Source organism: Homo sapiens, chromosome 20, assembly GCF_000001405.40.
Source record: "Homo sapiens chromosome 20, GRCh38.p14 Primary Assembly".
Classification (NCBI taxonomy): domain Eukaryota; kingdom Metazoa; phylum Chordata; class Mammalia; order Primates; family Hominidae; genus Homo; species Homo sapiens.
In genome coordinates, this window is record NC_000020.11 from 19,278,497 (window position 1) to 19,294,395 (window position 15,899).

At 45.9% G+C, this 15,899-nt stretch overlaps 1 protein-coding gene and 1 long non-coding RNA gene across 2 annotated transcripts in view; one reads left to right on the plus strand and one right to left on the minus strand.

Annotated features, from left to right (window-relative positions):
• Positions 1 to 6,100, minus strand: part of SLC24A3-AS1 (SLC24A3 antisense RNA 1) — a 42,295-nt gene extending 36,195 nt beyond the window's left edge. Inside the window, exons 1-2 of the long non-coding RNA NR_024564.1 lie at positions 5,649 to 6,100; positions 4,643 to 4,719 (exon numbers count right to left, since the gene is read on the minus strand). This is a non-coding gene — a long non-coding RNA (SLC24A3 antisense RNA 1). The remainder of the gene's footprint in view (positions 1 to 4,642; positions 4,720 to 5,648) is intronic.
• The window catches only part of SLC24A3 (solute carrier family 24 member 3), a 510,285-nt gene that overhangs the window by 65,855 nt on the left and 428,531 nt on the right, over positions 1 to 15,899 (plus strand). Inside the window, exon 2 of the mRNA NM_020689.4 lies at positions 2,463 to 2,591. Coding sequence (NP_065740.2) covers positions 2,463 to 2,591 — 129 coding nt within the window. The remainder of the gene's footprint in view (positions 1 to 2,462; positions 2,592 to 15,899) is intronic.

A 15,899-nucleotide genomic window follows, 5' to 3' on the forward strand; every position in this document is an offset into this window, starting at 1 on the left:
TGATAATATGGGAGTTTAAGGCTACTAACCTTAACGTTTCTTCATGAGGTTTTGAAACTTTTTTGTCTCTGTTCATCACTATTCTTAACCATTAGAATCCACCATTCAGGTTATCCAAACTACACAAATGCCTTGCTTTAACCTCGAATTATCTTTGATATTGTCCTCATAATCTGGGCTAAGCTGATACATGTGGCCGCCATGTAGAATTTTGTATTTCAAGAGTCTGAAATTATTGTTTCTTTTCATTAGACTCCACATCCTTCCTCCATTTTTTGGGGAAAAAAACCTGGGGGGCTCTCCTGGATGATATGCATAAACTGTAATTTGATATCTTGCTAAATTTACATGTGGAAGCAGGGTCTGTGTTTGAGGAAGACCTCAGTTCATGAGCTACTGATATTATGTGCATCATGTTAGCTTAGGTGAGGTGCCCACAGGCATTGTGATTTCCAGACACTTCCATGAGTCTCACTTTCTCCACCTAAAAAGTGGGACTAATTATTTCAACACATACCTACTGAGTACCTACCCTGAGCCAGCAGTGATCAGGTGCTGGAGAGGCAATGTCCACACTCTCCTTCTTTCTTGAGCGGTGTTGTGAGGTTTGAATTCAGTAACGAAGGAGAAATCATTTGGGAAACTGAATCACTGTGGAAGTAGAGGAGAGGGCAGAATGCCCTCCAGCTCTTCAGTGACCACTTCAGACACCGTGTTGGTGTGGCTGGGTGCACCATGTGGCCTTGTGTGAAGGCCACTGGGCCCATGGGTTAGGCCCACGTCTTGTGTTTCCATCCGTTTTCCGCCCGCGGCAACTTTGGACATTCAAGAGGCAGCATTGCCTCAGGTCCCTTCTTCAGTGCCAAGCCCCTGGGAAGAGCCACTTTTGCAGCTTGGCTTACTGTCTGTGTCTCCCCATGGCCCCATGAAGCCAGGCCCCACCTGTCATGTTTCTGCCTTCATCTTACCTGATCTGTCCATGGTGGTCAAGGCTGTTGGCTACACCTTCCTTCCTGAAATTCTCTTTCTGCTTACCTTCCACGACACCTGCTTTCCTTGCTCTTTTCCTTCCTTTCATGATCCCTTCCTGTATCCTTTTGCTCTGTCTCCTCTCTGAAGGATATTGTGTTCTTCCATTCCTTCTCCCTGGTGCCCCCTCTTCTCCACCGGGAGACCCCATTCATATATGTGCCTCCCACCCTTCCCTATTGCTGATGACTTCCCTGAGGCTTGCTGTGGCTCTACTTTTCTGCCCGAGGTTCCTCCACTCACATTTGCAGCATTTCTAATCTGCCACATGGATGTCCAAGGTGATGCCCAGAAAAAGGCCTTGGGCAATGACAGGAAGGTGCTAGAAGCTGCACTGTGCCAGCTGGCATTGAAGAGGTCAGAACCAAGTAATATGGGTCGAGCACCACGGCATCTGCCTATCTACACGGTACCTAAAGAGAGAGTCATGCTGTGGCCAGCAACGTGGCCATTCCACTGTTCTCTGGGTCAAGGAGAAATGCTTTGTGGTACTGTAATCTTAATGCTCAGGAAGACCCCAAAGATTTAAAAAGAAGCAGGAGTATCCCTTCCAATGACTTCCAAAGTTCCTCCCTTTCCGTGCTCTGTAGGCTCTTCAAACTCAGCATGCCCCAAACAGAATGCACTGCACTGGCCCCTTCAGTGTGCTCTTTAGCCTGTGTTCTTTCTTCTGGCACCTCCAACCCCACAGTCATTGCAGCCCTGAGCCCTGTTACCTGCTCTCCCAACCTACTGTTTCCTAGTTCGTGCCTTCATCTCTTGTTCATTGAAAACATGCTGTGTGGCACTCATGAACCTATGCTTTGGGGATGGCAAATTATGTCTTTGCTTGATAACCCCCAGAAGCAGATCCTGATGTATGTTCAATGGTGGGTGGTTCATTTGGGGGCTGATTTCAGGAGATACTGGCAGGGGCTAGACCTCGGTGGGCTGGAGCCAGCTCTTATTGACTCAGTGGAGCTGATTGTGTCCATCTCTTCCGAATACCATTTTCAATGATGTCATGTGGGCAGCTTGGCATTGGCTACAATGGGAATATTGACACCACAGAAGTTGGCCAGTGGCTGCAAAACAGGGCTTTTCTCCCCCTTCGAGATTTGGTTGTTAAACATTTCTCAGCATGTCACTGGGAGCAGGGAATTGAGACAGGGAATGGGGGGCAGTTGATCAAGTGTGCTTTATCAAGAGAGTTACACAGTAGACAACTGGAGCTTGATCCCACTGGGAAGAATCTAGAATCCAGCTTAGAACATACACCTCAAAGTCATCCCACTGGTGCGGCAAGGAAGCCTTCAGGCAGCTAGAGGCAGAGTGGCTGGGGGTGCAGGCGGGGCTGAACAAGTGATGGCTGATCAGGGCAGCGGGCATGCAGCGTCGGCAGAGGCTGAAACCCAGCTGTGAATGATGTGTGGTTATTGTCTTTGTCTCCCCAGAGCTTGACCTCATGGACCTCGTAGGGGAAGACAGAAAGTGGATGATGGCGAGGAAGCTGATGCAGGTGAACGACACTCTGACTTCCGAAGATGCCGGACTCCGGAACAGCAAGAACTGCACCGAACCAGGTAACAGTGCTGACTACTCATGGGCAGCAGCTGTCATTTTCTCTGGCTATGGCTGAGGAAGAGCCAGCTGCTGTGTGTTTTCTTAGAATTTTAATCCAGAAAGCCTCCAAAGATGTTTAGGATGGGAGTCTAAGAAACTTTCAGGTGACATCCTGAGGGACTATTAAGTTGTGTTTTGACCTCTGTGTTCGTTTTCTACTGGAGCTGGGGGTAAGTCAGAGACAGTGACACTCCTGATGCGGTACTGAGATCAGATGTGGAGGCTGGTGCTGCCAAGTGAGAAACCAAGGCAGGAGCAGGATGGGTGAGGATATTTTGTGGTTACCTTTGCTTTGATTGCTTTGGTCCTCTTTGGCTGGTTTTTAATCAGGAACTTTGTTTCTATCACAGTAGAGACACAGGGATTGGGCCGGATCGTCACTCACGATGTTGAACTTCTTGGAAGAGGCGAATATTAATTTATTGGTTGTGAGATTTGATATCTATTATGCCATTCCCCAGAAATATATATGGAACATTCTATCTCTAATGTTACTAAACAGAAAAAGAAAACAAAGCAGATCAAAGGGAATGAGGAGCTGTGAGGACCCAGCCCACCAAGCCTCAGGGACGTGACAGGCATCCCTCTGGATGAATGAAGTCCCTGAAGGTTTAGACCTGGAGTCAGTAAACTTGTTCTGGAAAGGGCCAGACAGTAAATACTGTAGGCTTTGCAGGCCACATATCGCATCTGTAGTGTATTCTTAAAATAATTTTTTATAATGCTTTATCAATTTAAAAAGCATTCTTATCTCACAGGTTGTACCAAAACAGGCGGTGGGATGGAGTAGGTCTGTAGCCATATTTTGCTGCTTTGACTTGGACCTCGAAGCTCTCTGGGGCTTTCTGTCCTTGCCTGGTGGGGACTTGGCCTCATGTGTGCCACTGTCAAGGGCCCAGGAGCTCAATGACATGCTGATCCTACATCCAAAGGTCTGTCTCATCTTTAGTGTCAGCACGGAAGGATATAAACAATCTCCATTGCAGCCCAAACAACTACAGGCTGTTGAGTACAGAAGACATGTCAGAGAATTGCAGGTCTGCGATCTATTGGGAAGATGGGTGGGAGTGCCCTTCCCACCATACTTAGACTCTTAACAATCAGCTTTCAAGCAAAGCTGGAAAGAATTAAAAATAGTTATCTGCCCTGCCTCCACCACCACCACCAGAAAAACAAAAACAAAAACAAACAAAAAAAATACCCTATGTAGTCTATGTTCCTCAACCTGGAGAATCCAAGGGTTACTGTGGCTGTTGTTCCATGCTCACAAGGAGCATTTTTCACTTGAAAGTGAAGCAGCACATGGGCAGCTACGTGAGTTAGAAATGAAAATGGGTATGAAGGGTCCAAGTGCCCCACTGAGGGACTGAACCACGTGTACTTTAAGAAGCAGAGATTTCCAAGGACTAGCCTGAAAAGGCATAGCAGGGAAGGCACAGCTTCTGTGCCAAGAACAGATCTGGTCCTGTAGTCAAATAGTTTTCAACATCTTTCTCCAACTAATAAGCTAATTAGGATTAATCAGCTAATAGTATTAGAAAGCCCAGGTATCACTTCTGGTATGGGAAAGAATGGAATCAGACAGGACATGGTGACCAGCTCTGAGCATTAGGTTCAGCCATATGCAGAACCAGCAAGGATGGGGGGATTCTGTTCCCTGTTGCTGGGGTGTGTTTTGGGGGCAGGTGGTTGGTCTCTCTGTGAGTAGCATTGCTCACTGTATTGGGAAATACCGTTCTCAGAGTGACAGATGTAGAAGCATAAAGCACATTCAAAGTCATTCCAAGAGTGGAAATAACTCAGCCTCACAGATAGAAAAGAAAATGTCTAGGTAGATAAAAAGAACGTGAACCCGGGATCTGCCTGTGTTGGCAGGGGCCACACAGGGAAAGGGAGGAGAGGAAAGGCTTCAGGAGGAATATGGGAGGAAGCAAAAGCAAGCTGAGTCATGCTGCGAAAAGCAGGTCCAAAGGGAATATGGATCCAGGAGGGACAATCTTGATTTCCTTACCTGCAGACCAAAAGAACCGGGCTTGGTTTCTGAGGCCCTTGATTCAGAACCAAATTCCACAAGGAAGATGATCATGCCTGAAACAGGAGAAGTTCTGTTCAAATCCTAACACATCAAGGGCTGGGTCAGAGCCCACGTGCTTCATGAAGCTTGCTTGGACCACCCCAGACTGCAGCATTCTTTTCTGACTGCTGCTGGTATAAAATGTCTCCACATGTGCTGTTAAATATGGACATTCAATGGCAATTTCAATTCAAGTGAATTCAAACCAACTAAAATTAAATATTCAGATTCTCAGTTGCACCAACTACATGTCAAATACTCGATAGTTGGATCACAGATGACAGCACAGGTCCCAAAACATTTCCATCATCACAGAAAGAGCTATTGGACAGGGTGGTCAGAACTTGCAGTTGTCTTTGGATGTATCTCCTGTCTTTCCAGCCCAATTGCAAACATCTCAAGGGTGTAGAGCAAATATGTAAATCTGAGGGCCTTATCTCTACCCCGGGTCTTAGAGTCACACTGACCTGAAGCTGTGGACTTTGGCCAAATAGCCAGGTTCTCAGAGTCTCTGTGTGCTTCTCTAGAAGTTGACATCATCATTCTGATCTTTCATGATTGCTGTGAGAATTACTAATAAAGTGTGGACAGCTTAGTGCCCTGGGTTTGATGGCACTGTAGTAGGAGTGTATTCGTGAATTTCCCACCCTCTGTCCTGGGGCATCATTACGGGTGGGGCACAGTGCAAGATTCCTAGAGCAACATTCTCCAGCTACTCCCTGCAGAGCGAGTCTGTCAGCAGGCCACACCGCAGGTAGCTCAGGTCTAAACAGACCGTCATCTAGACAGGAGGCTTCAGTACCATCTTCCCATGTAGGCAAGCCCTGAAGACCTCAGGCTTGGCAATGAATGCCATCATCTCTGCTGCATTGACTATTTCTAACAACAGGATCAGAACATTGCCACAGACACATGTGAGCCCTGGTTACCTCCATGCCCTTACCAGAATGCTGTCGAAGCTGGCTCCTCGGTCTGGACTGGACAGATATTTTATGAAAAAAGTTGAGAGCCAAAGCACCCATAAGGTCCTGATTTAGAAGCATCATTTTAATAATATTCATCTTCTCTGCCTCTAACTTGTTGTTGGGTGAAATGGTTGAGCAGGAGTGAGGTGAGGGCAGGTTCATTCTAAAACTTTGTTCAGTTTTCCTTAAGAGGCCCTGGGCACAATGAATACTACTTGTGCTGGTTAAATATAGTGCCATCTGCCCTCGAAAATCTTAAATAGAGAGGCTAGGAAGTGAGCCCTGTGGTTCCTGGACTCTCTCCCTTCCTATTTATGATGATGTCAGCGGCAGCAGTACACTTAACAGAGCCTACGGAGCAGGCTTCCCTCTGTGCTTGGAGGAGTGAAGATTTACACAGGGACTTGAGTGTTTGGGGTGCAGTGTGTGTCCTGGCTGTCTGAGTTATGGTGGCAAGGTCACAGGCAGGAGTTAATTTGGCATTTGTCATAAAGTACACCCAGCTGCCACTTGTGATGTCATGGGGCTTCTCAGACTGTGCTGTCAGAAGCCCTGGCTTTAGATGCTATTAGAGGAAGCCTGTAGATTCAGAGACTGGAGACAGAGTTACCTCTATTCTGGTTATATTCCCTGTTGGGGCATGATTCTGGTTTGCCTCTCAGATTACCATTTCCTCACCTACAAAATAGATCTTCAACTACATTTATCCCTTCCCTTGCACACATCCATTTATTCCAAGAAATTTCAAGAATAGAAATTCAAGAAAACTTCTTCCCCTTGACACTCTCCCATTTCCCTTAATAACTGCTGTGTTTGCAGAATTCCATGCCATACCTCAAGCCTTCCTCTACTCCCTCTCCCCTCCTCCCCTTCCCTCTGCCCTGCCTTCTCCCTTTCTCTCTGTCTGAAAACCAGGAGCACAGAGTGCCCAGTTTTGGTGCCAGAGAAAGCCCAGGGTGCTGTCTTCTGATGACAGCTGCTACTTTAAGGATATATTACTTTATACATTTTCTGCTTTCAAAAAAATGGCACTGGGCGCGGTGACTCACGCCTATAATCCCAGCACTTTGGGAGCCCAAGGCGGGTGGATTACTTGAGGCCAGGAGTTCGGGACCAGCCTGGGCAACATGGTGAAACCCCATCTCTATAAAATGTACAAAAGTTAGCCAGTCGTGGTGGTGTGAGTCTGTGGTCCCAGCTACTTGGGGGGCTGAGGTGGAAGGATCAACTGAGCCTGGGAGATGGAGGTTGCAGTGAGCTGAGATCACTCCACTGCACTCCAGCCTGGGTGACAGAATGAGACCCTGTCTCAAAAAAAAAAAAAAAAAAAAAAAAAGGCATTTTTCCTTTGCCCCTTGAAGACCTAGTTTTGGTAGAAATTTGTGATTTTTTTTTTTTTTTCTACCTTCAGAACTGCATGAACAAGACTGACTGACCTCCGGGCTCCAACTTTTCTTTGCAATTGTTCCAGCTCTCTGTGAATTTTTAAGGTTGTTTTCTTAGCCTGACACTGCCGACTTCATCTGAAGCCTGGAAACATTTTTTTTTTTTTCTTTTGGCAAGTAACACTTGAAATTGTTTACTCAGATGACCTATTAAGAGAAATTTAACTTTGAATAATTTGATCCATGGAAAATTAAGTTAGCTAAATGTAATATTGAAGATGGTAGACAACTGTAGCAGAAATGAATTCTTTGTAATATTTATTTGTGCACTTTACAGAATTTTATTTATACACTTTGCAGTGTGTCTCCAGAAAAATATATCATCTTTTGGTTTTTGGTTCCTTGATATTTTAAGGAAATGAGCTTTTCCTCAGAGTGCTTTTTCCAAATAAACTTTGGAAGAAGGAAAATATTTAAAATGATGGCCTTTGGTGTGGGCTTCACTGTGAGATCACTGGATTTCCCTTGATAAAGGATCATCCCACTCTGTCTGGCTTAGCTGGGCCTAAGGCCTCGAAAAGTGAAGAGGATGCTTGGCCTGTGTTTCAAGACCAAAGTCAGGCTGGCAGGGCACTGCCCTATGGGGATGGCCAGGAGTGCCTACAGGTCAGCTATTGACTGGCCCGAAGCCCACAGTTAACAGTTAAATGTGAGCTGCAGTTGACGAGGGAAACCGGGAAGTCTATATGAGAGAAGCAACAGGAGGGGAGGTTCAAGGGGTGCCTGTGGTCCATAAACAAGAACTGGAGTCCAGGCACAGACCAGCAAGCAGAAAACATGCGTTCAGGGTACTGGCCATGAACAGTGTCAGGATCCCACTGTTTGGGGTTTAAACTGTGACATCAGAGTGGGCTGGTTTAAAATCAGAGGGCTGGACATGACCAGTCTACAAAGCATGATAGGGCCAACATTGTCATCTTTTACATGAAAAAAACAAGAACCAGAGGGGATAAACAACCGCCCAAGGTCAGAGGGCTTGTCAGAAGTAACATAGGGCCACCCAACACCCGTGCAGTGCTCAATACCCATTAATAATTGAAGAGAAAATCTGAGGTCTGCACAATCTCGAGTAGCACTGTCCAGTAGGAACAAGATGTGAGCTACAAGCGTACTTTTAAATTTTCTATTAGCTACATTACAAAAGTACAAAGAAACAGGTGAAATTAATTTTAATAATATGTTTTATTTGACCAAATGTTTCCGAAATACTAGAAATGACAAATTGCAATTAGGTTAATGTGGTTATTGCTGGGTTTGAACCCAAGAAAGAACTAAATTTAAAGACTTAAGATTCATCTGTACATTATTTCACTAGCTTATGTAACTTGAACTTCTTTCTGAAGTTGTAATTCTCATAATGATTCAAATCACAGCTGTTGAGATTCTTAAGTGGAACAGATTTGGAACTAATGTGATCTGCTTTTTAATTTGTATCAAATTGTGTGCTGAATTATTTAGATAGGGTAATAGTAGCTGCTGTAACAGAGAAGTCCTCCAGATTTCTGTGTTAACACAAGAGAAGTTTATTTCTTTCTCATGGAATGTTCTAGTCTATAGTTGCACCTGTTGCAAGAAGGGGTCCATGGACTCCAGAACCTTCTATCTTTAGGCCTTTCCCTCCTCAACTTGGCTTCCAAGGTTGCTGTGCTTCTTTGCATTAAGGGGAAAGAGCATGGAGGATTTGGGGTAGCAGGGTTTTATGGACTAGATGCTCACCGATGCTCACATTCCATTGGCGGAGCTCAGTCACATGACAACCTCTAACCTCAAGGGAGGCTGGCCCATGTACATCAGTGGAATGTAGAAAGAAGAAGAAACAGGTTTGGTGAACTGCTAGCTAGTCTCTGCTACATTAATTTCCCCCAAACTTGTTTCTTCTGAAAAAGCAAATTTCCCAATTTTTCTTTATGCTTATCTCATTTTCAAAAGCCAAATACCACCATTATAGAAAAATCATAACCCAAATTTATGTCTGCCAAGGCTGGCTATAGCTCTTGCTTTAATCTTCATAACAATTCCCTCATCAAGTGAAACAATTTTATTCTCTTTTCACCTTGTGGGGGTCATCAATGAGGCAGAAATTGTCCCAGTGGTGCCATTTGCAAATTGCATCTTTTCTTTGGTAATAAAAGAACCCTGCGGAAAATAATGAATGCTTTTGTATAGATGAAGTCATTTGGCAATTGTGTGGAAAGAACTTGGGTTCTGGAGTAAATCCTAAATCCCAACTCCACCACTTTCGACCTGTGTGATGCCAAGTGGCTTCCTAAATTATTTAGACCTCATTTCCACCCTCTGTAAAATGCAAATTAAGATGCCTTCTTCCCAGGCTTGTGGTAATCATTCAGTGAAGTAAGCTTTGCAGAGCAGCTGCAAATCATAGTATGTGCTTAATAAATTGTAGCCATATTATCTTTGCTGCCAGAAATACAGTGGAAGGTAGGCTGATGGAGATCATTTATAGGAATTTACCACTCTGCAGGCACATTAGAACTTTGTGGGAATAAGATTGTTTTAATGATGAATAGATTATTTAGTGTCATTCAGCAACAATACCACATTCTTACAGGTTGGGCTGCGTGTAGGAGACATACAGTGGTATTAACTACGAGGCTTCTGACTAATAAGTTTCTGGCCTAAGAGTCCACTATGTAAACAAACAGGATGAAATAGGGAGCAGAGGATTTTCTACTTTATACTAATGAAGAGTTTAAAGTCTCAGGCTCTAGCAGAAAGGGCCAGACACTATTTGTTTTTTCTAGCTTTGACATCCCTTTAGGGCATTTTTATTGAGACATTTTTTTAAACACTGTTCTTTAAAAGCAGCCCAGGCAGCCTAATTTGGTGAGTGGTGTCTGGAATCTTTCTGAAACACAGGTAAAGGATGATAAAACTCTGCTGTTAGATGCAGAGATTTTGTGGATCTATTTGTAAAGTCCTTTAGACATTTCAAAGCATTTTCACATTCATTAGCTCATTGGAACATGTTTGGCTCTTGGAATAAATACCTCAAGGTCAGGAAAAACGGTATGATGATGCCCAGTTGATAGATTAGTTAGTCTGAGAGCAAAGCAAGTCGAGTTAAAGAACTGAGAATTCAGAGTCATAAATGCAAAAACAAACATAGGGATTATGGTTTCTAGTGGCTTCTAAACCCTTTTCCTCTAAGCCAGGGCTCAACAAACAAGAGCCCTTGGCCACAGGGGGCCTGTCGACTGTCTTTGTGAATAAAGTTTTATTGGAACACAGCCACACACATCCATTTATGTGTTTCTATGGCAACTTTTGCTCTATGAAGGCTGAATTGAGTAGTTGCAACACAGACCACAGGGCTTGAAAAGCCTAAAATATTTATTCTTGGGCCTTTACAGAAATGTTTGCTGCTGCCCCTGGTTCCAGGCTCTGTGACAGTTGCCTCATGTGCTCTGCAGGGGAGGTTGAGGCAGGAATGACATTTCCAAGGTCCTCTCTACTCTCCCTGATCCTTCCCCCAGGTGGTGCCTGTGCCATATTGCATATTTTTAATGTCACCCCTGGGCTGGGGGTCTGTGATTCAGGTACTCTCCCCTCCTCCTGCCCCCACCCACTGGCACACAATCAAAAAAACTCCAATATTTTTCCTTTCGTATGTTAGGGATCTGTTTAAAATTTTATTTGAAGAGTAAAAGTTTACCCCCTAAAAGAGCTTGAAACCACGGGCCTGGAACACCCCTTGCTCCAGAGCATCTGGGTCTCCAGACCACATGTCTAGTACTCATTCTACCTTGGAATTGCTTTCCTCTGGGGTTCCACAGTAAAGCAGCCACTTAGGGTTGTCCACCTGTACTCATGGCTTGCTCTGCACGATGACAGTTTCCCCAGAGCTTATCTCACAGGCACCCCCGGAGCAGTGAGCAATGCACTCAACTGTGTGTAGAGACCATGGGTATTACAGCGGGGTGCTGGGAACACCCACCTTGGGGAGTGGAGAGCCTGCAAGAGAAGTCACCTCCTGGTCCCAACACACCTCTCGGCTGCACTGTGGCCTATGACAGTGATAAGCCACATAGTGCTGCTTCCTCCTGGCCTGGGAGCACATGTGGCCTTGGCCATGTCTCTACTCCCTGGGGTTCACTCCCACCCACCTGGCTCCCCACTCCTCAATCATTTCTGGAGCAGCAGTGTGCCCAGGGGACTTGGGGCTCTTTTCTTCAATCTCTTACTGAGATTGTTACACAGATAATCTTATTTTGCAGATGAAGCTTCAGGTTTAGAGACATGAGGGGCACCTCCAGGGCTCCCTGCTAGTTGGCACTAGAGCAAGGACCAGGACTCTAAGGTTGCCTGTCTCCCAAAGCCTTGTTTGTGTGTGGTCAGCCTTAGGTCACATAATCTGGGTTGCCAGGTGGGCTCTGTTCTGCCCCCTTTTAAGCGCTCTCAGATGTCTTAGGACCACCACCACCAGCAGCAGCAGCCCCTGGGTGCCTGTTACAAATGCTCATCCTTGAGCTGCACCTGCGCCCTACTGGATTGGAACCTCTGAAAGGCAGGCCCAGCCATCTGGGTTGTAACAAGCCCTCCAGGGGCTTGTGAGGCACACTCAAGTGTGAGGATCCCTGGCTTAGCTCATTGGAGGCACCTGTGGAGATTTTAAACCCAGGTCCACCCCAGGCCAGGAAAATCTCAGCCTCTGGGACTGGGAAGCAGGTGTCAGAGGTTTTCAAGCTTCCAGGGGGTTATAGTCTGAGTGTTTGTGTCCCTCCAGTATTCATTTGTTGAAATTCTAACTCCCAAGGTGATAGTGTTAGAAGATGGAGCTTTTAGGGGAACGATTAGGTCATGAGATCAGTCCCCTCAGGAATAGGATTTAGTGTTCTTATAAAAGAGGCCTGAGAGAAAGCCCTCACCCCTTCCACCTTGTGAGGCTAGAGTGAGAAAATGTCATCTATGAACCAGCATGCAGGCCCTCCACCAGACACCAAGCCTGCTGGCATCTTGATCTTGGACTTCCCAGCCTTCAGAGCTGTGAGAAATAAATTTCTGTTGTTTATAGGCCACCCAGTCTATGGTGTTCTATTATAGCAGCGTGAACAGCAGGTGAGAATGGTGGCCTGAGACCCACCTCTTGCATGGGTGGTCTCTGTCAAGCTGGCTCAGGGTAGAATAGCTGGGCTTGCAAGGCCTAGAATCTTCAACAAGCTGGCAAACAGATGAATAAAGGGAGACCGCCAGCCACATGTAAGACACCAAACCTGTCTTCCAGCAGGGTCTATGTGTGTTCAGCACTACTCCCAAGCCCTGTGAACATTTGTTTCTTCACTCTATCTTGGAGACCACGGGTTTTGTTTCTAAGCTTTCTTGCCCTGGGAAACACCAGGGTGTGTTTCACACTAGCTGCATTTTAAAATCTCTTTGTATTGAAGTCAACAGGGAATGTTCCTGCCTTGTCCTATTTGTGGGTCTAATCTTGCCATCGGGTCCTCAGTTGCCTCAGCACTTGCCACTCCCACCCACTCAGAAGCCAGGGCTGGCCGAGGTAACAGGGCGAGGTGCCCCTGGGGCTGAGGGCAGGGCCTTGGGGCACATCTCCCGGCTGCTCTCTGACACTCCCAGGCCTGGGTGGACTCTGGTGCTTCGGGGTGGAATGAGGCCCAGGGAGGCCCAGGTAGGCCTGGTCTCTCTCCCCAAAGGCTCTCCAGGCCTGAGGAGTTTCTCAGCAGGCTCCATGAACAATGGGGGTGGCCTGTCTGAGGGCTGTGAAGGTCAGGGATGGTCTGAGCTACACCAGTGAGTGCGCTTTGGTTTGGTCAGAGGCACCAAGCACAGTCTATCCCTGGCTAGTGGGCCACGGCCACACCTCGGTTTGTGTGCCCTGGAGTAGGTTCCACTGAGGCCCAGGACTATGTTCACATTCCACCTTGGAGAGTAAGTTTAAATAGGTACATGTCTAGGCTATCCTACGGACGCTTCTGAGGTTCCTGATAGAGTGTGACTCCCATTTCTTTTGGCTGAAATGTCTATAATAGAACAATAAAATCCTTGAACTAAAGATTAGCAGCCTTTTTTAGAAGCTGACTCAGAACAAAATGGATTTGGGCCCAGCCCAGTGGCTCATCCATCCCTGTCAAAACCTTTGTGCCAGGAGCTCAGCCTGGCTCCCCAGCCCTGGGCCTGCAGGAGACCTCAGGGCCCACTCAGTGTCCACGTTATTGGGATCAGGGACACTGATATGAAAAAAAGAAAAAAGGCAAGAAGCTGCAGACCCCTGGGACAGGCTCTGGAAGGAGCAGAGGACTGGGTCCAAAGAGCAGGCTGGACTCAGTGAAGCTTCTGTGACCTCAGTTGATAAATGGGCACTCACAGTACCCACCCTGTCTTGGGGTCATGAGGGAACCTTTCAGATAGATAAGGAGAGGCCACATTTTGTAATTGTAGGTACTTCTGAGCAGAGTGATGGATGTAGGGCCTGGGCATCACAGGCCTGGGGAGGACCCATGGGCTGTGGGACCCTGGACCAGCCGCGTAATCTCTCAAAGCCTTGGTTCCCTTCCCTGAGAAGTGGGGATCATTCATGAGTTGGTGGAACAAAGCGTGTCAAGTCTTTAACACACAGCCAGTGCTCAGTCCCTGAGTGGATGCCCATTTTCCAAGCACCCACTTTGCAACAGTCCTGAGGGGTCCTGCAAACGGAGTCTCAGCTTGTCACACTTAAGAGATTGTAGTTATTATTCATGCTGCTGATTCCTTTCTCTGGTTTTTAGGGCGTGGGAGTTTTCTACTATGGGAGGCAGGTAAAATGAATTTGACAGGCACTAATACTACAAAAACCCAGGCGGAAAGTAAAAATAGTCTTAGTTGTCAAAGCACAGGAGCCAGTCACATGAACAGCCTGTCAGTATCAAGGTAAGCCTCCCCGTGGAGCTTTTTCTGGGGAACGGGAATTCCACTTCTGCTGAAATCTTGTTGACTTGCCCTGGGTAAATTTATAGAAAAATCACGGATGATGGGGATTTTGGTCTGTAGGCCGAGTATGCAGGCTGGGTGTGTAGAATGGATAGCAGTGGTCGCAGGGATGAGGTTGAGAGGCAGAAGCAGGTGGGAAAGGAGGGTTTGATCTGCACTTGACTGACCTTCTTGTCGTAGTCTGCTCAGGCTGCTAAAACAAAATGCCATAGACTGAATGTCGTCTAAACGACAGAAATTTATTTCTTACAGTTCTGGAAGCTGGAAGTCCAAGGCCAAGGCACTGGCAGATTCAGTGTCTGGTGAGGACCTGTTTCCTGGTTCATGGTTAGCGCCTTCTTACTCTGTCCTCACACTGAGGAAGGGGCAAGGGAGCCCTTTGGAGTCTCTTTTATAGATTTAGTAATCCTATTCTTAATCATCTTCCCAAAGGTCTTACCTCCTAATCACCTTGCCAAAGGTCCTACCCCCTGCCTTGGGGGCTAGGAATTTAGCATGAGAATTTGGGGGGAACATAAGCATGAAGACCATAGCACCCTTGCATCCGTAGGACCATTGAGGTGGGAGGCTGCCCTTTGGACAATATCTTTCCACATTCCAGCAACACAGTTTCCCCACTGCCTGCTCCATTTTAACCACAAATACTAGGCCAATTTATTAAATTGAGTTATTTAATACTGAATTTAAAGGAAGGAGAGTTGTAACGCAGCTGCACCTCCCCACTCTCAGCCATTTTTATCCAATTGCCCTGGTTTCATGCAGGACATTGGCCCCTTTGTGGAATCATTTTATGTTCGTGGCTCGGAAAGGGATGTTTCCTGGCTGGGCATGGTGGCTCATGTCTGAAATCCCAGCATTTTGGGAGGCTGAGGTGGGTGGATCACCCGAGGTCAGGAGTTCAAGACCAGCCTGGCCAACATCGTGAAAACCCATCTCTACTAAAAATACAAAAATTAGTTGGGCGTGGTGGCAGGCACCTGTAATCCCAGCTACTTGGGAGGCTGAGGTATGAGAATCACTTGAACCCGGGAGATGGAGGTTGCAGTGAGCCGAGATGGCACCACTGCACTCCAACCTGGGCAACATAACAAAACTTCGTCTCAAAAAAAAAAAAAAAAAAAAGGGATATTTCCTTTAAGGATGCCCAAGCAAAATTACTCAGTGCCTGGCTCTGCTTAGTGGTTCTCAGGAGGACAGAATTCCTCAGTAATTCCCACTATAAATATAGAATTACTGTCCCATCAATGCCACAATTCGATGTGCTGTTTATTTAAAATTTTGCTTCCTCTGTCTCCTCATTCAGTCTCAAGAATCTTGCCTTTAGGTCCAGTGGTCCCTTGGTATCCACGGGGGATTGGTTCTAGGACACCCCCCCACCTCAGAATATCAGAATGCATGGGTCCTCAAGTCCCTGATATAAAATGGCATAGCATTTGCATATAACCTATGCACATCCTCCCATACACTTTAAATCATCTCTAGGTTGCTTATAATACCTAATACCTAATACAATGCCTATACATCACTTCATTTACGTGGATTCAATGTAGTACTTGAGACGTGGCAAATTTAAGTTTTGCTTTTTGGAACTTTGTGGAATTTTTTTTCCAATTATTTTTTAATGGAAAACTCTAGCATTTATTCATAAAATCTATAAATGGAAATCAAACCATTTTAATTAATTACTCTAGTCAAAATTACTTTTAATCAATAAACACTTTTTTTCTTTAAAGAAAAAATTTAATTGTATTTTATATTAAGTTCTGGGATACAGGTGCAGGATATGCAGGTTTGTGCTTTGGTGATTTGCTGCACCTATCAACCCATCACCTAGGTATTAAG